General features: G+C 45.8%; 1 long non-coding RNA gene across 1 annotated transcript; it reads right to left on the minus strand.

Moving 5' to 3' along the window:
• Nucleotides 1-4,162: 4,162 nt before the first annotated feature.
• On the minus strand, nucleotides 4,163-5,424 carry LOC124904700 (uncharacterized). Its single transcript, XR_007067237.1, has 2 exons — nucleotides 4,981-5,424; nucleotides 4,163-4,426 (listed from the first exon to the last, which is right to left on the minus strand). It is a non-coding gene; the product is annotated as an uncharacterized LOC124904700 (long non-coding RNA).
• Nucleotides 5,425-25,184: the final 19,760 nt, after the last annotated feature.

Consider the following 25,184-nt stretch of genomic DNA (forward strand, 5'->3'; position numbering starts at 1 on the left):
TCCCCATGAGGGGTGGAACAACAAGCGAGTGGAGTTCGTCCCTGACAGCGCCCATGTACTCTAGTTCCCATCCAAGAAGGGGTCAGGGAAATATCCTGCTTCAGAATGACTAAATCAAGCTCATTAACATATGCATCACTTCACATTGTTTTGTTTTGAGACAGGGTCTCATTCTCTCACCCAGGCTGGAGTACGGTGGCACTATCGTGGCTCACAGCAGCCTTGACCTCTTGAGCTCAAGCCATCCTCCCACTTCAGCCTCCCGAGAAGTTGAGACTACAGACGTGCACCACAACACCCAGCTAGTTTTTTGTATCTTCTGCAGAGATGGAGTTTCACCATGTTGTCTAGGCTGGTCTCAAACTCCTGGGCTCAAGCACTCCTCCTTGCCTTGGTCTCCCAAAGTGCTGCGATTACTGGTGTGAGCCATGGCACCAGCCTTAGTTATCTTTTTTGTGTTGAGAAGACTTAAAATCTACTCTTTAAGCATTTGTCAAGAATACACCGTAACTACAGTCACCAGGTTGTACAATAGATCTCTTGAACTTATTCCTCCTAGCTACCTGAAATTTTATATCCTTTGACCAACATTGCCCCACTCCCACCACCTGGCAACCTCAGCCTCTGGTAACCAACATTTCACTCTATTTCTATGAGACAACTTTTTTAGGTTCCATATATGAGTGGGATTATGTAGTATTTGTCCTCTGTGCCTGACTTATTTCACTTAATATAATGTCCTCCGGTTCAACCTTGTTGTCCCAATTGACAGGATTTTCTTCTCTTTTATGACCAAATAGTATTCAGTTGTGTATCTCTACCACATTGTACAAATCCGTTTATCTGTTGATGAGCACTTCAGTCGCTTGACTATTGTGAACATTGCTGCAATGAATATGGCAGTGCAGATATCTTTTTGACATACCAATTTCAATTCCTTGTGATGTATACTCAGTAGTGGGATTCCTGGGTCATATGGTAATTTTATTTTTATTTTTATTGATTTATTTCTTTGGGACAGGGTCTTGCTCTAAAGCCCACTCTGGAGTGCAGTGGCATGATCATAGCTCATTGCCATTTTGACTTCCCAGGCTCAAGTGATCCTCCCGCCTCAGCCCCCTGAGTAGGTGGGACCACAGGAATGTGCCACCACACCCAGCTTATTTATTTATTTATTTTTGAGACAGGGTCTGGCTTTGTTACCAAGCTGGAGTGCAGTGGTGCAGTCTTGGCTCACCGCAATCTCCATCTCCCAGATTCAAGCAATTCTACTGCCTCAGCCTCCCAAGTAGCTGGGACTACAGATGTGCGCCACTATACCTGGCTATTTTTTGTATTTTTAGTAGAGACAGGTTTCACCATGTTGACCAGGCTGGTCTCTAACTCCTGACCTCAAGTGATCTGCCTGCCTCAGCCTCCCAAAGTGCTGGCATTACAGGAGTGAGCCACTGCACCCAGCCACTAATTTATTTTTATCTGGAAAAGAAAAGAGGTTCATTTGGCTCAAGGTTCTACAGGCTGTACAGGAAACATGACATCAGCATCAGCCTCTGATGAGGCCTCAGGAAGCTTCCACTCATGATGGCAGGTGAAGGGGACCTGGTGTGTGGAGATCACATGGCAGGAAGCAAGGGAGAACTATTATTACTGTGGGGTCAGCACCAACACATTCATGAGGGATCCGCTCCCGTGAGCAAAACACCTCCCACTAGGCCCCACCTCCGACACTGGGGATCAGTTTGCAACCTGAGATTTGGAGGGGACAAATATCCAAATTATATCAGGTGGACAGTGTGGCTGAGGCTTTCCCTGCTTCAGACGGAATTGGACACAGGCTCTGGGAGAGAAGATACAAAGTGCCGAGACCAGCTCAGTCAGGGAGACCCTAACCCAGCGGCACTAGAGGAATTAAAGACACACACACAGAAATATAGAGGTGTGGAGTGGGAAATCAGGGTTCTCACTGCCTTCAGAGCTGAGAGCCTCGAACAGAGGTTTACCCACGTATTTATTAACAGCAAGCCAGTGATAAGCATTGTTTCTATAGATTATAGATTAACTAAAAGTATTCCTTATGGGAAACAAAGGGATGGCCAAAACAAAGGGATGGGTATGGCTAGTTATCTGCAGCAGGAGCATGTCCTTAAGGCACAAATCGCTCATGCTATTGTTTGTGGTTTAAGAATGCCTTTAAGCGGTTTTCCGCCCCAGGCGGGCCAGGTGTTCCTTGCTCTCATTCCGGCAAACCCACAACCTTTCAACATGGGCGTCATGGCCATCATGAACATGTCACAGTGCTGTAGAGATTTTGTTTATGGCCAGTTTGGGGGCCAGTTTATGGCCAGATTTTGGGGGTCCTGTTCCCAACACAAAGGGGTGAGGAATGAGGTCGAGTGTTCCAACACAGTTTTAGCAAATGCAGGTACAGACACCCAGGGTGGGTGTAACTGAAACGCATGCTTCATGGAGATGCACTCAGCTGAGATGCCTGATGTGTGTGGGGAGGGTGGGTGCAGGTTAGCCTGAGCATGGTGGCAGCGTGGGATTCGGACACAGAAATGATTTGCAGGAGTCAGAGGAGGGTCGGTGTGCTAGTAACCTACTGCTGCACAACAAATTATCCAAAAACGCAGAGGCTTAAAACAACATCCTTTTATTATCTCTTCGTTTCTGTGGGTCTGGAACCCAGGCACGGCTCTGCTGGGTTCCCTGTTTCATGGTCTCTCCCAAGAATGCCATCAAGGTGCCAGCCAGGACAAATATCTCATCTCATGGCTCAACTGGAAAGGGGTCACTTCCAAGTTCATTCACTTCATACAACCTGTCGGACTGAGGGCCTCAGTTCTTCCCCGGCTTTTGGCCTGAAGCTGCTTTCAATTCCTTCCCTCTTGGGCCTTGCAGAACGGAGAGCTTGCTTCATTAAAGCAAGCAAACCAAGAAGGCAGTTGAGTTTGCCATAAGACAGAAGTCACAATCTTTTGTAATCTCATCATGGAAGCCACCTCCCACCACCTTTGCCATATTCTTTGGGTTAGAAGCAAAGTCATAAAGTCGGGCCCACACTCAAGGGAAGAAAATGACACAAGGGCACCCAAACAGGAGGTGGAGGTTGTTGGAGGCCCTCTTAGAAGTCTGCCTAACACCAGTGGGGAGGTCCCGAGAGAAAAATATCTCAAACTACCCTCCCCCCGGGTCTGGACTCTCCTTGAGAACTATTTAAAGAGAGAATCTTTTAAGGGAATTAAGTGGCAAAGAAAAAAAGTTATAAAAATGCTAATACTCCAAAAACTTTCTGGGGAGTTCCTAATGGTTTATAAGCACTGTGCTTAGTTTCTTACGAGACTGCCTTTTAAAAATAGTAATTAATGGGCTGGGCGCGGTGGCTCGCATCTGTAATCCCAGCACTTTGGGAGGCCAAGGCGGGCGTATCACCTGAGGTCAGGAGTTGCAGACCAGCCTGGCCAATATAGTGAAACCCCATCTCTACTAAAAATCCAAAATATTAGCTGGGCGTGGTGGTGGGCACTTGTACTCCCAGCTACTCAGGAGGCTGAGGCAGCAGAATCACTTGAACTCAGGAGGCAGAGATTGCAGCAAGCCACGATCGTGCCACTGCACTCCAGCCTGGGCAACAGAGTGAGACTCCATCTCAACAAAACAAAACAAAAAATAGTAATTAATGGAAAACAGGTAATTCACCTGTAATTTATCAAAACCAAAGCTTCCTCACCCCAACCCCTACACAGGGTCAAATTCAGTGTTTTGTCCTCGGGAAAAACCTGACAGTGTTCTAGTTGTCTTTTGCTGCACCACAATCATCCCAAAGTTTCACAGCTTAGAGCGATGTGGGGGTTTTTTGGTTTGGGGTTTTTTGTTTGTGTGTTTTTTAAGACAGAGTCTCAGTCTATCACCCAGGCTGGAGTGCAGTGGTGCAATCACTGCTCACTGAAGCTTTGACCTCCCGGGTTCAAGCGATTCTCCCGCCTCAGCCTCCCTAGTAGCTAAGACCACAGGCTCATACCAACACACCTGGTTAATTTTTTAATTTTTTGTAGAGACAGGGTTTTTCCATGTTGTCCAGGCTCGTCTCAAACTCCTGGTCCCAAGCATTCATCCCATCCCAGCCTCCCAAAGTGCTGGGATTGCAGGCACGAGCCACTGCTCCAGAATCAAAGCAATGTTTATTCTGCTCACGAATCTACAACTTGGATAGGACTCACTGGGGCTCATGTCTGCTTCACTCAGCATCAGCTGGGCCACTTGAAGACAGGGGACTGGAACCTTCTGAAAGCTCTCTCACTTACAAGTCTGGCAATTGATGCTGGCTCTCAGATGGGGCTGTGACCAGGATACCTACAGGTGGCTTTTCTGTGCATCTGCTTGGGCTTCCTCACAGCATGGAGACTGGGTTCCGAGGATGAGCACCCTGAGAAAGAGAGAGCCAGGCAGAAGTTATCCCCTTTTATGACTTAGCCTTCAAAGTCACCTGGGGTCACTCCTGCCACAGTCTCAGGCCTGCTAGATTGAAGGGATGGGAACATAAATCCCATATCTCCATGAAGGAGATCAAGTCATCGAGGTCATTGTAAGGAGGGCATGTGGCATAGGATATATCCGTGCATTCACCTTTGGAAAATACAATCAGCCACAGAGAGCAAACAACCCCACCACCATCCCACCCCTGAGCTTTCACGGGTGTCAGTGACAACAAGCATCGTAGGATGAAAAGAAGTCAGCAATCATGAAAAAATAAAGCAGCAAGAAGTACAATCCTTTCCACCTCGTCTCCCATGAGAGCAGGAGGTTGGGAATGAATCCATCTCCCTGAACTAGAGAAGAGACGTGCAAGGTCACTGGGCCGAGCCTGTGGGTTTGGGTTTCTCAGCTGGCCTGTTACGATGAAGCTTGTTCTTGTCTATTGCTGCACACCAAATTACCATAAATTTAGCAGCTTTAAACAACACCCGTTTATTATCTCACAGTTTTGTAGGTCAGGAGTCCAAGCAGGCTTGGCTGGGTTCTGCTCCGGTCATTACAAGGCTGAAATCCAGGTGTCCGCCAGAAATTCTGTTAGCCAGGGCTTCTATCATCAGTTCTTCTCTGCAGGGCGCTGCTAGGGAGGTCCTGACCACCAGAGGGCACTAGAACCACAATCCCGGTCCCAGGGAACTTTGCTTGTGCTCCCGCCCCTTTCTGTCAAAATGCTGTCCGGCCACCAGCGGCAGCAGCGTCTGGGAACTTGTTTGAAAAGCAGAACCTCAGGACTTAAAACCAGACCTGCTGAATCAAAATCTGCATTTTGTCAACTCCCCCACCCAGGCAATTGGTGTGCACCCTTGAGGGCCAGGCTGTAACTCAGTGGTTCTCTACCTTGGCTGCGTGTTAGAACCACCAGAGGAAGTGTGTGTGTGTGTGTGTGTGTGTGTGTGTGTGTGTGTGTGTGTGTGTTTGAGATGGAGTCTCCCTCTGTCGCCCAGGCTGTAGTGCAATGGCGCGATCTCTGTTCACTGCAACCTCCGCCTCCCGGGTTCAAGCGATTCTCCCTCCTCAGCCTCCAGAGTAGCTGGGATTACAGGCTCCCACCATTACGCCCGGCTAATTTTTGTATTTTAGTAGAGACGGGGTTACACCATGTTGACCAGGCTGGTCTCGAACTCCTTACCCCAAGTGATCTGCCCAGCTCGGCCTCCCAAAGTGCTGGGATTACAGGTGTGAGCTACCGCGCCTGGCCCAGAGGAACTTTTAAAATCCCTGATGCAAGGGACTACCCCCAGAGATTTTGATTGCATTGGTCTGGGGTGCAGCCTGCTGCCCGGATTGTTAAAAGTTTCCCTGGGGATTTTACTGTGCAGTTAAGGTTGAGAAGGGCTGCAAGCCTGGGTCATTGCACACTGTAAGAACCTTGTGTATGAATGGAACTGTGCTATGGAACAACTCCACACCACCTGTGTGTGTAGGCATAGGAGAAACACATAAACCCTGACCCTCAAGGGTCTCCTGGAATGCAAGACCTCAGCCCTCAGGGGCCTTCAGATAAAGGTGCGGTCAGGGCAAACATGGAACACCAAGGACGTGTGATATTATTTTCCAGGTGCTTCAAAGACTCAAGTCAAACACCAACTGCTCAGATAGCAAATTCTAGTTCACCCACCCCACCCATGCTCAGTGATGGGGCTCACGGCAGTTTCCTGTAAGTGTTTGCTGGGCTCGCCTTTCTAACTCCACTGTGGGCCCCCTGAGAGAAGTAATGAGTCGGGTCCCCACTCAATGGAGCCCTGTTCGCAGTTGCTTTTGTGACGTAGGAAGAAACCAGCTGGTGGTGGAATTGGTGAGTTGTGCTCCAGGAAAGAAGGTGCCTGGAAGACAGAGATCAGCGATGTTAGGAGGCACTCTAAAAAAATATATTCTTTCCTATTTATATAGAGCTTCATGGTTCCCAAAGCACTCTTAGGTGCACTGTTGCATTTTTGTAACACCCATCTGCATTAGATTAGAGTTTATCTGTACAGATGAGGAAAACTGAGTGACAGAGGCGTAAATAGATATGCGGGAATTTGCATGAGTCAGGCAGAATTAGAACAAGAAATCGCCTTCCTAAATTTCCTAATTTCCTATATGCTGTTTCCAGGATGTAGCAATACCCAGCTTCTGACTTCTCTTTCCTCACCGTTGAGACCATTTCTGGGGGATTTTGTCTTCATTCTTTCTTTTTGTTCTCCTCCCCAAAATTGTGGGTTTGTTTAGTCATTCTGGAATTCTCTGTTAATCTCCCACCAAATGTCCATTGACGTACTTGATTTCTCATTTTTGAAGGAAGATTCACCAGGTGTAAATTCTTAATATATGCTAGCAAAGACAATGATTTCATCACATTATAAACTTCTCGAATGCAAGAAACTTATTTCCCATTTTATCTCTAGCACCTTTGACAAATATTTGTGGAATGAATGAATAATGAATGAAGGGGATTTGCAAAGTTAAATGTGAGTGAGGGAGGAAGCAGACCCAGGAAATTAATCTGGAGCCAGTCTGCAGGTGGTGTGGTGGGCGTGGTTGTAACCTCTGGACCAAGAGCTGTGAACGATGGTGCACAAAGAAATACTGTCAGCACCACAGAGAGTGGGTTTTATCTTCTCAAATAATGGCCAACTTTCCTGCATCTTCTTCCCTTTTCCTGCTCCTCTTGAGGATGTATTCCCTGCTCAAATGAAATGCTGAAACGTGGCTGGGCGCAGTGACTCACACCTGTAATCCCAGCACTTGGGGAGGCCGAGGCGGATGGATCACCTGAGGTCAGGAGTTTGAGACCAGCCTGGCCAACACGGGGAAACCCTATCTCTACTAAAAATACAAACATTAGCCAGGCATGGTGGTGCAGGCCTGTAATCTTAGCTACTCGGGAGGCTGAGGGAGGAGAATTGCTTGAACCCAGGAGGTGGAGGTTGCAGTGAGCCAAGATTGTGCCACTGCACTCCAGCCGGGGTGACAGAGTGAGACTCCGTCGCAAAAAAAAAAAAAAAAAAAGGGCTGAAACGTTCTTTGAAGAATTCAGCGAGCCTTTGGATACTGACTTTCAGTAAAGGCCTCCCCGGCTCCGTGCCTTTTTTTCTATAAAGTGTCCTTACTCTTCTGGGGTCAGAAACCCTTCCCCTTCTGGGGTCCCCAAACAATGCTCCTCCCTGAGACAAATGAGGTGTGGGAAGGATGTGAGTGACATGCCCTTCTTCCACCACCAGTGTTTCTGCTGAAACCATATTCACTTTATTAAATTAATCAGGGAAGAAGGGACGGGGAGAAATGAAAATAACCAAGCTTGCAGCACATTCAGCGGTCATCATGAGGTCATCCTGCTCTCTGACCTGCCCTTTCTCACAGTGGTTTGGTGCCTGTTGTTCTAGAATCACACAGACCTGTTCCAAGATGATAGTTCCCCTTAACTGCTCTAGAGATAAGAACTTGAACATTACGAAATGTTAAGTTTTGGCCGGGTGCAGTGGCTCACGCCTGTAATCCCAGCACTTTGGGAGGCCAAGGTGGGTGGATCTCCTGGTCAGGAGTTCGCGACAAGCCTGGCCAACATGGTGAAACCCCGTCTCTACTGAAAATACAAAAATTAGCCAGGCATGGTGGCAGGTGCCTGTAATCCCAGCTACTCAGGAGGCTGAGGCAGGAGAATCGCTTGAACCCAGGAGGCAGAGGTTGCAGTGAGCCAAGATGGTGCCACTGCACTCCAGCCTAGATGCCAAGAGCAAAACTGCCTCAAACAAACAAACAAACAAACAAAAGAAATGTTAAGTTTTCCATTTGAGATATTTTTTCAGGTTCTGTATACTGATGAAACCACTGATGCCATTTGGTCTGAAGGAACCCACAGGAGCTGCTGACTCACTAAAGAATGCAGTTTTCACACCCTGATTTCATCCCCCTAACCCCAAGCAATCAACCACCCCAATTCTCCAGCTCCTCGTCCTTCCATGATCCCCTTAAAATCGCCAGCCCAGAACTCCTTGGGGAGATGGATTTGAGGGTTTCCTCTCATGTCCTCACTTGGCGCCCTGTGATCATGAAACTCTTTCTCTGCTGCCAACCCTGCTGTCTCAGTGGAATGGTCTGTCACTGCACAGTGGATGTGTGAGCCTGTTGGTCCTATAACACTGCTTCATCAGAATGCTCTGAGGCTCCATACCCCAGGCCCACCCTGCACTGGCCAGCTCCCCCTGCCCTTCTCCCCATTGCTGTACTCCCACCCTCCTCCACTTTCTTCCCTGAGAGCTGGCTCCCAGGGTCTGCAGGGCTCATCCAGGTTGGTTCTGTGGCCAAGGGGCATGGTTCCAGCTCAGCCCCTTCTGCCCCTTGGACTTGAGAACCAGGGTCTGCAGTCCACAGTGGAGTAGGCCTTGTGTATGGGCTCTGGGTCCATACTTAGGACCTTATGAGGGGCAGGTGATGGTAGAGGAAGAGGCTACCCCTAGTGGGCATTTGATTGGCAATGGGAAGGCTTAGAAAGGGGTCACAGGCTGGAGAGCTTCATGGACTGCATCCCACCATGAAGGAAATGGAAACTTGGCTTTTCCATTCTCAGGTTACAAGGGAAGAAACTTTCATGATGGTGTTGATAAAGAATATTCTGACTGAATAAGTTGGGGCCAATTTGGGGTTGGGTCTCAGGGAAATGAAGAGGCTGTAAGAGCCCAAATCTTTCCCTTCACGTGGCCCCCAGAGTCTTTAAACTCTCCTACTTCTTCAAGGCCCAAGCCCCTTCCTTCAACTCATCTTGGATCACACGTGAACAAAGTAACAAACATTTATTAAGAATTTGTATTCACAGCCTGGCACAGTGGCTCACGCCTGTAATCCCAGCACTTCGGGGAGGCCGAGGCTGGTGGATCACCTGAGGTCAGGAGTTCGAGATCAGCCTGGCCAACATGGCGAAACCCCGTCTGTACTAAAAATCCAAAAAATTAGCCGGGCATCGTGGCGGGCACCTGTAATCCCAGCAACTTGGAAGGCTGAGGCAGAGAATCGCTTGAACCCGGGGGGCAGATGTTGCAGTGAGCCGAGATCATGCCATTGCACTCCGACCTGGGCAACAAGAGCAAAACTCTGTCTCAAAAAAAAAAAAAAAAAAAAAAAAGGATTTGTATTCACAAAACTTCGTGCCAGGCTGGATGCAGTGGCTCATACCTGTAATGCCAGCATTTTGGGAGGCCAAGGCGGGAGGATCGCTTGAGCCCAGGAGGTGGAGGCTGCAGTGAGTTATGATCAAACCACTGCACTCCACTCTGGGTGACAGAGCAAGATCTTATCTCAAAAAAACAAAAAATCACCCAATTCTGTGCCACAGGGAAACTTTTGGGGACTATGAATGCACACATTTGCTAGAAGCCATTGAAGTATACACTCAAAATGAGTACATTGTGTGTGTAAATTATACCTCAATAAGTTGATTTAAAAAAACTGCATCAGAAGATTGGCAAGAATATTGGTAATTGTCAAAGCTGGATGATGGACACGTGGCAGCTCATTATGCTTTTCTCTCTACTTTTGAGAATGTTTAAATTTTTCATAATAAAAAAATAAATTTATTCTGTGCTAATACATTTAGTTCTGGGAAGCAAAGTGTCATTGGGTATGTAAGAGTCACACTTTAATTCTTCCATGTCACAAGCAATTCACTGAGCACCAGCCTTGTGCCAAACATTGGGCTGGTACACTGGAAATCTTATGACAAGGTCACAGCCTGCCCTTGTCCCGATGGTTTGCACAGTGGAGGGAAAGAGAAGGGCGCTTAACAAATAATTGCCCAGGTAAATGGTGACTTTCATAATCCATATAAAGAAGCCAGATGCCATCAGATATGATGGAAGAACCCACCTTGCTCTAGGCAATCAGAAAGGCTTTCTAGAGGAGGTGGTGGTTAGACTGGGTGCTGAAGGATGAATAGGAGAGTGAGAGAAAAATACAGGAGCATTTGTTGTTATTGTTGTTGTTGTTTTGAGACAGGGTCTCATTCTGCTTCCCAGACTGGAGTGCAGTGGCACTCACTATATAGTGGCACTCATAGCTCACCATAAACTCGACCTATTGAGCTCAAGCGATCATCCCGCCTCAGCTTCCCCATTAGCTGAGACCACAGGTGCCCTCCACTATGTCCGGCTAATTTTTTTTCTTTTCTTTTTTGCTAGTGACGGGGTCTTGCTATGTTGCCCAGGCTGGTCTTGAACTCCTGGCCTCAAGTGAGCCTCCCGTCTCAGCCTCCCAAAGTGCTGGGATTACAGGCGTGAGCCACAATGCCAAGCCATACAAAGGAATGTCTTAATTCAGCAAGCTTTTATGGCATCAATGCTATGTGATTAATTCCAAGTACTTTTCCCTGGGGAACTCTTATTCTACCAGGAGATTCCAAATGGTGGTAAACACTTTATTATGATTCAAAGCGTTAATTACTATAATGGAAAAAACCTATCTCATTGGGAACCAAGGAGAGAAAGAATTCTTGGAGAGAATTATTGCTGAAGTATTTACAATGGAAGTTGCTGCTAAACTGGGTGTTAAAACACAGTTGATGTTCGCTAGGTGCACCAAAGGTCTGCATGAAGCAGAAGTGCTCCAGCTGTTCAAAACCTCAAATGAGCACTTTGTTCCAGGAAGAAAGACAAGGGCCTGAAACTGGACTTTGGAAAGCGGGTGGATTTGTAGAGGAAGGAAGAGCATTGCAGGAAGGTGGATCGCACAGGTTTTAAGGGGTACCTTCTGGTGGTGTGTGAGAGACAGAGTGAGTGGAGCTGAGGGAGCACCCTGAAGAGCAGGGGGATATTTGGCTGGGTGTTTAGCTAGGGTAGGGTCAACACGGAACCCTTCGATGCCAAGATGAGGAGGTTGGAAAGGACCCTGACAATGGGACCTCACTCCCAGTTGCATTCCCCTATCACTGCCTCAACTTTAGGTGTGTGGAAGAGCAGACCCTGGTGGCCTTTCAGTACCAAGAGTCATCTTTGGTCAAAATTGCTGAGGATCAGGTCTGACTAGGAGCACCTAGTCTGGCTGGAGGCAGAGGTGGCCAGGAGCCGAGCACCAGGGGAGAGAGAGCTCTCAGCATGATGAGGAGAGCACCATCCAGTTTACATATTTCTTTCTGGAGGAATCTTCAAGTTCTCCCAACTTGATTCAGGACAGGTGACCCCCAAACTGGGGCTTAGCATGTGAGGGTTCTTGGCTTTGCTCAAGAAAGAATTCAAGGGTGAGCAGTATGGGCCAGTGGTAGGGTAGAAGAAAAGAGGCTCATTGAAGAAGCCGTGTTACAGCTCCATGACTGCTCCTGCAGAGCAGGACTACCCGGTCCCGTAGGCAGACAGCAGCAGCTCAGAGCAGTTCTGCAGTCAGATTTATGCTCACATTTAATTGCACGTAGATTAAGGGGCAGTTTATGCAGACATTTCTAGGGAAGGGGTAGTAGCTTTGGGGTCATTATATCATTGCCATGGAAAGGGGTGGTGACTCTCCGGTGTTGCCATGGCAATGGTAAACTGACATGGCGCACTGGTGGGTGTGTCTTATGGAAAACTGCTTCCCTCCCGTCCCTGTTTTAGCTAGTTCTCAGTTTGGTCAGGTGTCTGAGCCTCACCTCTGGAGTTGAGCCCACCTCCTACCTCACGGGTGTACTGCAGCCAGTGAGTGTCATTGAGTCCCTGCATATAACAAACAGACTCCGAGATCTGCCTTCACCCAGTGGCAGTTCATGACCTTTTGGACATGGTGCATAGATAGTGATAGAATAGAAAGGCAGTAACGTCATCCACTATGCATTGTCTTCGTTCTAATCACAAAATAAGTGTTTGAAAAATTAAGCATTATATTTTCAGGTGCCTTTCAAATTCTAGACCCAGCGTACATACATACATACATACATACATATATATATTATGCATAACACATCTATGTGCCGTATTTACTTTTTTTTTTTTTGAGATGAAGTCTCACTCTGTTGCCCAGGCTGGAGTGCAGTGGCGCCATCTCGGCTCATTGCAAGCTCCGCCTCCCAGGTTCAAGTGATTCTCCTGCCTCAGCCACCCGAGTAGCTAGGCATGTGCCACCCTGCCCAGCTAATTTTTGTATTTTTAGTAGAGATGGGGTTTCCCCATGTTGGCCAGGCTGGTCTTGATCTCCTGACCAGCCTCCCAAAGTGCTAGGATTACAGCATGAGCCACTGCGCCCAGCCTTTATTTACTTTATAACTGTACTTACCTTATGTAATGAGTATATATGAAGTAGTGCTAAAATATACATATTTAACATTTAAATATCATGCAGCATTAAAAGACATGGCTGGGTCCAGTGGCTCCCATCTGTAATTCCAGCACTTTGGGAGACCGGCAGGCAGACGGAATGAACCCAGGGTTTTGAGACCAGCCTGGGCAAGATGGTGAGACTCCATGCCTACAAACAATACAAAAATTAGCCAGGCATGGTGGCATGTGCCTGTAGTCCCAGCTACTCAAGAGGCTGGGGTGGGAGGATGGCTTGGGCATGGAAGACCAAGGCTGCAGTGAGCTGGGATGGCATCATTGCACTCCAGCCTGGGTGACAGAGCAAGACCCTGTCACAAAAAATAAATAAATAAACAAACAAACAATAAAAGACATATAAATAAATAACTGTCCTCTACCTTGCATCCACATCCCATAATCAATCATTTTCGTCTTTTGGCTCTTCTATTATTGCTTTATGTTGCTGAATAATTTGCATATTCTAATATCTCTTTTGCATTTTAATCAGTATTATTGAAGGATAGTTTATATACAATAAAATGTGTCTCTTTTTTGTTACTTATCGTTTTGAAACACCTGTATTCCACATGTGTTTATTAGGTGTTTACGATGCTCTAAAAGTGCATTACAAATAAGTCATCAAACCACTAGCTTAGCAAATTCACACAGGCATGTCAGCAGTGGGGAAAATAAAACAATTAATTATAATGTCCCATTAATAATATCCTGTAAATATCAAACACAACGCATTTTTTTTCTTTGTCCTCATTGCAAACTATACTGCCTAGGCCATCCGTAAACAAAAATTTTTGTGTGTATTATAAGTATTTCCATCAGTTTGGGATTCTTAAACTCAAAATTCTTGGCTCTACCAGTTGCAAACTTTTAAAATTTTAATTCTAATCAGTCATATAAATGCACAATAGCAAAAGTCAAAGAATTCAACAAGATTTCTAAACCCAGCAGCTCTCTTCTCTACTCCATGCCGTCCCACCCCATCCCCCTCTCCAGAATTAGCCACTCTCTCTTTTAGTGCATAGTTCTATTTTCATCTCCTTTTTTTTTTTTTTTTGAGTTGGAATTTCACTCTGTTGCCCAGGCTGTAGTGCAGCAGTGCCATCTCCGCTCACTGCAACCTCTGCCGCCCGGGTTCAAGCAATTCTCCAGCCTCAGCCTCTCAAGTAACTGGGATTACAGGCATGCACCGCCACACCAGGCTAATTTTTGTATTTTTAGTAGAGACAGGGTTTCACCGTGTTGGCCAGGCTGGTCTCGAACTCCTGACCTCAAGTGATCCGCCCATCTCAGCCTCCCAAAGTGCTGGAATTGCAGGCATGAGCCACTGTGCCCGGCTCCACGTTTATAAATAGCAGGTTTATATACAGTCTTGAATTTGAATGTTATATATTATCAACTTACTTTTTACTAGAAGATGATGAATTCGCTCTTTTCACTCCTCTCCCACACACATATTTCCTTCCCCCCCCTTCAATCCTCCCAGAATTGTCATGTCATGATTTTTATTAAGTTCACTGATTATGTTATGGAGATCAGGAAAATGTTAGAGATGAGCTATGTCGTGCGCTGTCCTTACATTTCTTTCTCATGCAAACTTTTTGCTTTTCTTTACAACTGTAGTTGAGATTTGTCCTTTTCTCTGCTTTGAATAATTTAAACTCCAATCTCTGTCCTTCTGCTCCAATCTATACTTTCTTCAAGCCAGCTGCATGATTCTCCTGCTGGGACTTCACTTCACCATCTAGTCATGTTGGTCCTCCATTTTCTCTTTCCTGGTTTACTCCCTTGTTTAGGGTGAAAATATCTTCCAGGAGCTTCCTGAGAAAGACTGTTTGGGAGGAAACTTTTTGAGACTTTGTTTGTCTGAAAATGTCTAACCCTGTTTCCACTTGAGTGATAATTTGATAGAAGTCCAGGTTAAACAGCAGTTTTTCCCCAGAGTGTCCAATGTCCTCCCACCTGTGATCCTTTGACTGTGATCTGTTTGGCTTTTTTTTTTTCTCTCTCTGGAAACCTCTAGAACTGATGTTCTGAAATATTATTACCATATTTTAACAATTGTGGAGCACTCTGCAGGCTCTTCAAATTTCTTTCAGTTATGGGGACATTTCTTTAATACTTTCTTCACTACTGGAGTTTCTGTTTTCTCTTTTTTGGAATTTCTGAATTTATCCTCTAATTTTCTTATATTGTCTCTTATTATCCACTTTTGTCTTTTATTCTGCTTTCCAGAAGTTTTCCTTTTAGTTTGTCATTGTTTTTTAGAGACAAATTCTCAGCGGCTGGGCACGGTGGCTCATGCCTGTAATCCCAGCACTTTGGGAGGCCGAGGCGGGCGGATCACAAGGTCAGGAGATCGAGACCATCCTGGCTAACGCGGTGAAACCCCTTCTCTACTAAAAATACAAAAAATTAGCCAGGCGTGGTGGTGGGCACCTGTGGTCCCAGCTACTCGGAAGGCTGAGGCAGGAGAATGGCGTGAACCCGGGAGGCGGAGCTTGCAGTGAGCCGAGATTGAGCCACTGCACTCCAGCCTGGGCGTCACAGAGAGACTCCATCTCAAAAAAAAAAAAAAAAAAAGAGACAAATTCTCGCTCTGTCACTCAGGCTGGAGTGCAGTGGCACTATCATAGCCCACTGCAGCCTCAAACTCCGGGGCTCAAGCAATCCTCCTGCCTCAGCCTCCCAAGTAGCTAGGACTGCAGGCTTGTACCACTTGTACCACCATGCCCTGTTAATTTTTTAATAGAGATAGGGTTTCACTATGTTGCCCAGGCTGATCTCAAACTCCTGGTCTTAAGAGATCCTCCCACTTTGGTCCCCAGTGTGGTGGTGTTGGGTGACGGGACTTTTAAGAGGTGATTTGGTCATTAAGAGAGACTGATGCCATTCTCTCGAGACTGGGTTAATTCTGGAGGCAGTGAGTTCTCACTCTTTTGGGACTGGATTGGTTATTGCAAGGGCAGGCTGTTATAAAGTGAGGTTCCCCTTAAGTTTTGCCCCTTTGACACACACCTGCTTCTCTTCTGCTTTTCCATCATGTTATGATGCAGCACTAGCCCCTCCCCCGAAGCCAACCAGATGCCACCCACTCGGTATTGGACTTTTCAGCCTCCAGAACCATGAGCTAAATAAATTTCTGTTCACTATAAATTACCCAGTCTGTAATTTATAGTGGTATATTCTGTTATACCAACAAAAAATGGACTAAAACAATCACTGTCCGTTTAGATTTACCCACACATTTATCATTTTCATTGCTTGTTATTCCATCTTACAGCTCATATTTTCCCTCTGATATTGCTTTTCTTTCTTCTGACCTAATTTTTTAAGAATTTCCTTTAGGGGGATATGTTCATACAAAATATTTCAGTTTTTCTCTGAAAGTGTATTCAGTTCATCTTCATCCTTGAATGATTCTTGGGCCTGCAGTTCTAGATGGACATGTGTTTTCTCCCAGCACATCAAAGCTATTGTTCCATTGTCTTCTCGTTCCCATTTTTGCTATTGAGAAATCAGTAGAAAGTCTAATTTTGTTTTCATATATGTAATCCATCCTTTATTTCCAGCCACTTTTAAGATTATGTCATTTTCTTTGGTATTCTGTGGTTTCTAGGTATGCTTTTTAAATTATTCTTTAAAAACTGAATCGAGGCTGGGCGTGGTGGCTCACTCCTGTAATCCTAATACTTTGGGAGACCAAGGTAGGTGGATCACCTGAGGTCAGGAGTTTGAGACCAGTCTGGCCAACATGGTGAAACCCTGTCTCTATTAAAAATACAAAAATTAGCCAGGTGTGGTGGCACATGCCTGTAGTCCCAGCTACTCAGGAGGCTGAGACAGGAGAATCGCCTGAACCCAGGAGGCGGAGGCTGCAGTGAGCCGAGATCATGCCACTGCATGGCATTTTCTTCATCTGATTTTTTTTTTTTTTTGAGACAGAGTCTTGCTCTGTCACCCTGGCTGGAGTACAGTGGCATGACCTTGGCTGACTGCAACCTCCACCTCCGGGGTTCAAGCCCTTCTTGTTCTTCAGCCTTCTGAGTAGCTGGGATTACAGGCATGCACCACCACATCTGGCTAATTTTTGTATTTTTAGTAGAGACGGTTTCACATGTTGGCCAGGCTAGTCTCGAACTCCTGACCTCAAGTGATCCACCCGCCCTGGCCTCCCAAAGTGCTGGGATTATAGGTGTGAGCCACTGTGCCTGGCCTCTGAATTTTTTTTAATGTTGCTTTTATCCTTTTTCTTTTGATAACTTTGTTCAGTTTCTTTGAATACCCTTTCTTCTCTATCTTTTTAATGAAACTTTCCAAACACAGAAAAGTCGAAAGAACTATGCAGCAAATAGCTGTATACATACCACCTATGCCCTTAACATTTCACTGTACTTGCTCTATATGACTTTTTTATGTGTCTAAAGTGAGTTGCAGACATCAGGTTCCCACCCCTAAATCTGCCGGTTATGCATTTCTCTTTTAGCTACCTTTGACTTGGGGGGAACTCTTCCTGTGCCAAGTAATTGAAGACATTTGTGCACAGTAGGGGGAAGCTTTTGTTTCTGCCTAGCAGGAAGCATTTCCAGTTTCCAGGAACGTTGCTAATTTAGAGGAATATGTGTATGTGTGAGTTGCTTAAACTTCCTTTGCCCCAGATGGCCAAGAACAGCATCCGGAAAGCCACTTACAGTGCAGCAGCTCAGCCCCACCTCCTCCTGGCAAGCAGGCAGCATCCTGTCCAGACAACTGTGTGTTGATCCCTCCTCCAGCACTGCTTTCCTGGCCCCAGACATCAATGGCAGCAAGTGCCAGGAAGGTTCCAACGGCCAGGCTGTATCTCTCACTCTTTGTGTTCCAAACAGGTGACTGCTGGTTTGCCCATCACAACGAGCCTCTTGTGCCTTGTAGGCTTAGTCTAAGATCAGAACCATGGGCACTCCTTCTTGGCTTCCTCCTCGACTCACTTGACTTTTCCTGTGTTGGTAGCTCTTCCTCCTCTGACCTTTCAGATACCCCCTAGTTATGCCAGAAGTGCAGAGTGCATTTATGTTTCTGAATCCTCCTTGCTGGTCTGGTGTAATTCCTGAAAGAAGGCATACTGCAGTAATTTTACTTATGATTCTTTTTGCAACTAGCAAGATCAACCAGATATTTATTTATTTTCATTTTTTAGAAAATTTTAATATAATTTTAATGTTGTAGGGAGCATGGGGAATATGGAGAAGGGCAGGAAGAGACTTTTGTGGGTGATGTTGGTTAGCTTGATTGTGGTGGTGATTTCATGGATATATACAAATGTCAATATCAAAGATAAAAATTGTATAATTTAAATATGTGCAGTGTATCATATATCAATTATACTTCAATAAGCCTGTTAAAATAGTTTTAACAATGATGATATATTGCAACTTTTATGTATTTTAAACTAATTGAGTTTTTATACATGAAATTGTACATGTAATTGAGTTTAAAATACGTAAAATTTTAATGACAAGTTAAATTTTATAACATACATTCAGTAAAGTGCATAAATCTTAAATGCATAGTATAATTAATTTTTCATATGACTACCACTACCACTCAGATGAAAATATAGAATACTGGCTGGAAGCAAATGGCTCATACCTGTAATCCCAGCATTTTGGGAGACCAAAGCAGGAGGATCCCGTGTGGCCAGGTATTTGAGACCAGCCTAGGCAACATAGCGAGACCCCATCTCCACAAAAAATAAAAAGTAAAAATATTAGCCATATGTGGTGGCACATACCTGCAGTCCCAGCTACTCGGGAGGCTGAAATGAGAAGATCAGTTGAGTCTGGGAGGTTGGGGTTACAGTGAGTTATGATTGTGTCACTTCATTCCAGCCTGGGCTACAGAGCAAGACCCTGTCTCTAAAAGAATAAAAAAAAATATAGAATACTTCCAACACTTCAGAAGATCCCTCGCGCCCTCCTAGTCATTATCCCCTGAGGGTAAGCACTATTCTGACCTCCATCACCATGGATTGGTTTCGCCTGTTCTTGAACTTTATATTAATGGAGATGCATTCACGCTGATACTTGCGGCAATAGTTTGCTCATTTTCGTTGCCATATAGTATTCCACTGTATGAATATATCACAATTTATTTATTCATTCTCTTTTTGATGGACATTAGGGTTGTTTCAAGGTTTTGGCTGTTATGGATAAAGCTGGTATGATCATTCTTATTCAGGACCTTTAATGGACATTTGTGGTCTTTTTACTTGAGTGTTGTAGTAAGTAGTATAATAGCCCCCCAAAAGATATGTCCACATCCCAACCCTCGGAACCTGTGACAGTGACTTTATTTGGAAAAGGAGTCTTTGTACATGTAATTTTTTTTTTTTTTGAGATGGAGTCTCACTCTGTTGCCCAGGCTGGAGTGTGGTGGTGCAATCTCGGCTCACTGCAACCTCTGCCTCCTGAGTTCAAGCAATTCTCCTGCCTTAGCCTCCCAAGTAGCTGGGATTACAGGCATGCACCACCACACCCAGCTAATTTTTTTTTTTTTTTTTTTTTGTAGAGATGGGATTTCACCATGTTGGCCAGCCTTCACCATGTTGGTCAGGCTAGTCTCCAATTCCTGACCTCAGGTGATCTGCCCACCTCGGCTTCCCAAAGTGCTGGGATTGTGGGTGTGAGCCACCGCACACAGCTTGTACATGTAATTAAATTAAGGATCTCAAGATAAGATCAGCTTGTATTATCTGAGTGGGCTGTAAATCCAATGACAAGGGTCCTTGTAAGAGACACAGGGAGTAGGAGAAGGCCATGTGGAGACAGAGGCAAAGATGAGGGTTATGCAGCCCCAAGCTAAGGACTGTTTAGAGCCAACAGAAGCTGGAAGAGGCAGGGAAGGATTAGAGCCTTCAGAGGGAACATGGCGCGGCTGACACCTTGACTTTGGCCTTCTGGTCTCTAGAACACTGAGATAATAATTCTGTTGTTTCAAGCCACAAAGTTTGGGATCATTTGTGACGGCAGCCAAAGGAAATTAATAATACAAAAGTTCACTTTATTAATACTCATTTATATTTGTTTGTGATGTGCACAACACTCCAATGGAAATTTTAAAAAGTGTTTGGAGTACAGACTTTCCCAAGCCTGGCTAACTTTTTCTTCCTTCTCTGGGAATGGATGTTTTGCGCAGTGTACAGAAGTGTGGAGAGTGACCCCAATGTCCTTGTTGATGTGTGTCTGTAAATCTTACCTGTCACAGTGTGGGCACTCTGAGAGCCCTGTGTCCCCACCAGAAGCATCTGTTCCTTATGCAGCCTGAGTGTCCTCTGCTAGGGTGGCCAGTTCCCCTCCTCCTGCCCTGCCTTTTTGCAGGTTCACAGGTGCAAGACTGGCTGTTTCCTGTTAATATTAACTATACTTGAATTTTCAAGGATTTTTTTAAGAAAAAAATATATAATGCCAATACAAAAAAAAACACAGGAAAAAAAATTAACCTTACTAAACTAAACCTGCCCTGATAGGAGGGTTCTTCTCACAAACCTGACTGCAGAGCAAAATGGAATTGCTCCAATTTCTCCCTTTGCAAACAGGCATGCATCAACTTCTCATTTTAACAACTTTCTTTCTTTCTCTTTCTTCTTTCTTTCTTTCTCTCTCTCTCTTTCTTTTTTTCTTTTTTTTTTTTCAGACAGTCTTGCTCTGTCACCCAGGCTGGAAGTGTAGTGGTGCGATCTTGGCTCACTGCAGCCTCCATCTCCTGGGTTCAAGGGATTCTCCTGCCTCAGCCTCCTGAGTAGCTGGGACTACAGGTGCACGCCATCACACCCAGCTAATTTTTTGTATTTTTAGTAGAGAGGGGGTTTCACCATGTGGGCCAGGCTGGTCTTGAACTCCTGGCCTCAAGTGATCCACCCGCCTTAGCCTCCCAAAGTGCTGGGATTACAGGCATGAGCCACTGTGCCCAGCCTTTAACGACTTTCTTAATAAGTGGTGTGGGAAAACACCCAGAGCTAAACAAAACCAACATGGGGAAGTGACAAGCATTTGAGAATTCTTACATTTCTCATAGCTGTATTCCCCCAGAATCTGGTATCCAGCTTTTTTTTTTTTTAGTCTGGAGACAGGTTGGAGTGCAGTGGTGTGATCAGGGCTTACTGCAGCCTTGCCCTCATGGGCTCAAGCAATCTGCCTGCCTCAGCCTCCCAAGTAGATGGGTCCACAGGCATGTGCCATCAGCCTGGTTAAATTTTCTATTTTTTTTGGTGAAGATGAGGTCTTGTTATGTTGTCCAGGCTGGTCTCAAACTCCTGGGCTCAAGCAATCCTCCTGCCTCTGCCTCCCAAAGTGCAGAGACGATAGGCAGGAGCCATTCCAGCATCTCATATGATGTGGTTGTTGAAATCGACTCTCTCGGGAACATTTAACAATAGCTAAAACAGTTGAGTGGGCACTGGGTGTGTGCTTCAGCTCAGGCTCTTACTTATATTGTTAGATTCCCTCAAAATCCCTGGAGGTGGGGAATTTCCTTGAGGTGGGGGTTTTCCACGCTTTCCAGATGAGGGCTGTACGCTCATTGACTAGAGGCACCGTGTCTAAGTGTCTGAGGCTTAATTCCCATTCTCTAGAAGAGCAGCTGACTATGTGTATGTCAGTGGGAAAGGGGAGAGCCCAGAAAATCATTGCAGTTTATCACAGCCACCCCCACCCCCTCCATCACTGCAGAAACTGAGCCTCCACTATCTTGGAGTTTCCTTGAAGAGTTCCCAGTCTTGGTGAAATATGGGATGGACGGCCAGGCACAGTGGCTCACGCCTGTGATCCCAGCACTTTGGGAGGCCAAGGTGGGTGGATCACTTTAGGTCAGGAGTCCGAGACCAGCCTGACCAACATGGTGAAACCCCATCTCTACTAAAAATACAAAAATTAGCCAGGCGTGGTGGCGCATGCCTGTAATCCCAGCTACTCGGGAGACTGACGTAGGAGAATCTCTTGAACCCAGGAGGTGGAGCTTGCAGTGAGCTGAGATTGCGCCACTGCATTCCATCCTGGGCAACAGAGCGAGACTCTGTCTCAAAAATAATAATAATAATAATAATAATAATAAGAAATATGGGATGGAATTTCCATTGGATGTTAAAGATCCTTCCAAAATAGGTATTTTCCACAGAAAATGTTATATTTGGTCTGACAACTCCTTGCAAAAATGAACTCAAATGGTCAGGAATATTTGTTGCTCTAGGTTTTCAGAAGCAGAATGGGCATCCTTTCTTAGAATACATTCTGGGCCCCTCAGGGTGTTCAGGGTGGGAATAAAGTATATAAAATGAGAAGTCAAAACAGGGAAGAGGTACTAGGGGGGAAGCTGGGCAGAGGAAAGGAACCCTTGGGAGGCCCAAACTTTAATGCTCTGGTTCATAAAATGCAAAAAAAAAAAAAAATCCATTCTCATCCCTCCTGTCCTGTTATTGTCAAGATGCTAGCTCCTTGGACAATTCAGGATACACCAAGCTTTCTCCCCGGATAGCCGCAAGTTTAAGGGCAGGAAATGGCCTTGGACTGGGTGCCTTTGCTGAGAGAACAGCAGCACTTTGATCCAAGATGTCCAAAAGACAAAGCAGAAGTTCATGAGAAACAGAGGCCCCAGCATCACTTGGGGTGGCGGGGAGGGACCTGTGCAGCTTGCGCCATGGACACCTCGTTAGTGCATAGGAGTGCATCAGTTTTACAGAAACGGGGCTCCATCTAGCCCAAAGGGAGAACGCCCAGGCTGTGATCAAAGGATTGAGGGTAGGACATCAAAGGTTAGGGACTTTCCCGAGTGGAAAATATGGGAAGGGATTGGGTCAAAACCTTACAGAGAATGTGGGCGAGATTTGGTAAGACGTCAAAACTTAACCAGACCCAAGTGGGCATATTTAGGGGAAAACCAGAAGTCATAGTTCATTGGAAACAGACAGATACGGTCAACAAATCTTCATGTATCTGGGGAGTGCAAATATCACGTTATTCCTTATTGTGTGTCAGAAATACGCAAGCCCACACTGTGTTGAGTACCTGCGTGGGAGTGGGAGATGTTCAGGCCTGCACACGACCTATCTGTGCCTCAGCTCTTCTTGTGGAAAAGTGCTATAGAAACAGCACAAGATCTGGACCATCCAACTCACCAACCCACCCCAGCTGGAATTCAGTAGGCAGTCCCCTGACCCTGTTATTCCTCTGAATATGAGAAAGGCAGAGATAACAGAATAGGAGGGCGATGGTTTCAATCCACAGGGCTCTTTGGATGAGAAAACATGGGGGTGTTGTTAGGTAGCCCTGGTCTGCTTGATATTTCATTTCTGGCCAGGCGCAGTGGCACATGCCTGTAATCCTGGCACTTTGGGAGGCTGAGGCAGGTGGATCACTTGAGGTCAGGAGTTCGAGAGTAGCCTGGCCAACATGGTGAAACCCCACCTCTGCCAAAAATACAAAAATTAGCTATGTATGGTGGTGCACGCCTGTAATCCCAGCTACTTGGGAGGCTGAGACAGGAAAATCACTTGAACCCGCGAGGCAGAGGCTGCAGTGAGCTGAGATTGCGCCACTGTGACAGGCGTGGGCCATAGCACAGAGCCTGGTAACCACCATTCTATTCTCTGTTTCTATGTATTTGAGTTTTTTTCAGGTTCCACATATAAATGAGATCATGCAGTATTTGTCCTTCTGTGTCTGGCTTAGTTCACTTAGCATAACATCCTCCAGATTCATCCAAATGGCAGGGTCTCCTCCTTTTTGAAGGCTGTATAGTATTCTGTTGTATTGTATACCAAGTACCTTTATCTATTCATCACTGATGGACACTTAAGGTGTTTCTATGTCTTGGCTACGGTGAATAATGCCACAATGAACCTAGTCCAAAATGGGAAGTCCTCAAATATCCATCAATGTTAAATCATTAAGTAAATAGTGGTATTTATTCACAATTTATTTCATAGGTGGAATGCTACACAATGGTAAAAATGAACAAAGTTTAGCCATACACAATAAGGCGGATGATTCACAACCACAATGGTAAATCAGAACAGCTGGGCCGGGCACAGTGGCTCACACCAGTAATCTTTGGGAGGCTGAGGTGGGAGGATTGCTTGAGCCCAGGAGTTCGAGACCAGCCTGGGCAACATAGCAAGACCCTGTCTTTTTAAAAAATACAAAAATTAGGCAGATGTAGAAGCACACCAGGTACTTGAGAGGCTTAGGTCGGAGGATTGCTTGAGTGCAGGAGTTCGAGGCTGCAGTGAGCTGTGATGGTGCCACTGCACTCAGGCCTGAGCAACAGGGCAAAACCCTGTTTCAAAAAACAAAAAAGGAAGAAGAAGAACCCTAAACAAAAGAATTCTAAGTGTATCGTTCTATTTGTATGATGTTCAGAAACTGGCAAAACGAGAGCTTTTGGGAATACGCACTCAAGTAGTAAAACTCTAAAGAAAAGCAAAGGGGCTGGGCGTAGTGGCTGATGCCTGTAATCTCAGCACTTTGGGAGGCCAAGGCGGGTGGATCCCTTGAGGCAGGAGTTCGAGACCAGCCTGGCCAACATGGTGAAACCCCGCCTCTACTAAAAATACAAAAATTAGCGGGGCGTGGTGGCACGCACCTGTAATCTCAGCTACTCAGGAGGCTGAGGCAGGAGAATCACTTGAACCTGGGAGATGGAGGTTGCAGTGAGCCGAGATTGTGCCACTGCACTCCAACCTGGGTGACAGAGCTAGACTCTGCCCACCCACTCCCGAAAAAAAGCAAAGGAAGGGAAGAGGGCAGTGCTTGTCTTCAGGAGGAAGAGGGTTTGGTGGGAAGACACTTGTGGTGTCTAGGGGTGCTGACCGCATGCTTTTTCTTGATCTCAGTAGCGGTTGCAAGGTGTATACTTTATAATTACATATTAAGCTGTGCATTCATATTTTAGTCCCTTTTCTGCGTGTATCATCTGTCATAAAAAGGTTTTAAAAAACATGAAGCAACAAAGAAAAAATTGCTGATGGACACTTATGTGTCTTCACACAAGATATGAAAGAACTTTACAAGAAAAACTTAAAAAAAGAAATAGAGATGGGATCTCACCATCTTGCCCAGGCTGGTCTCGAACTCCTGGGCTCAAGCAGTCCTCCGACCTCAGCCTCCCAAAGTCCTAGGATTACAGGTGTGAACCACAGTGACCGGCACCCCCACCAAAAAAAAACAAAAACCCTTTATTTTAAAAAATGCCTAAATGAGGCCGTGCGCGGTGGCTCACGCCTGTAATCCCAGCACTTTGGGAGGCTGAAGCATGCAGATCATGAGGTCAGGAGACCGAGACCATCCTGGCTAACATGGTGAAACCCCATCTCTACTAAAAATACAAAAAATTAGCTGGGTGTGATGGTGGGCGCCTGTAGTCCCAGCTACT

This window comes from Homo sapiens, chromosome 19 (genome assembly GCF_000001405.40).
Source record: "Homo sapiens chromosome 19, GRCh38.p14 Primary Assembly".
Classification (NCBI taxonomy): domain Eukaryota; kingdom Metazoa; phylum Chordata; class Mammalia; order Primates; family Hominidae; genus Homo; species Homo sapiens.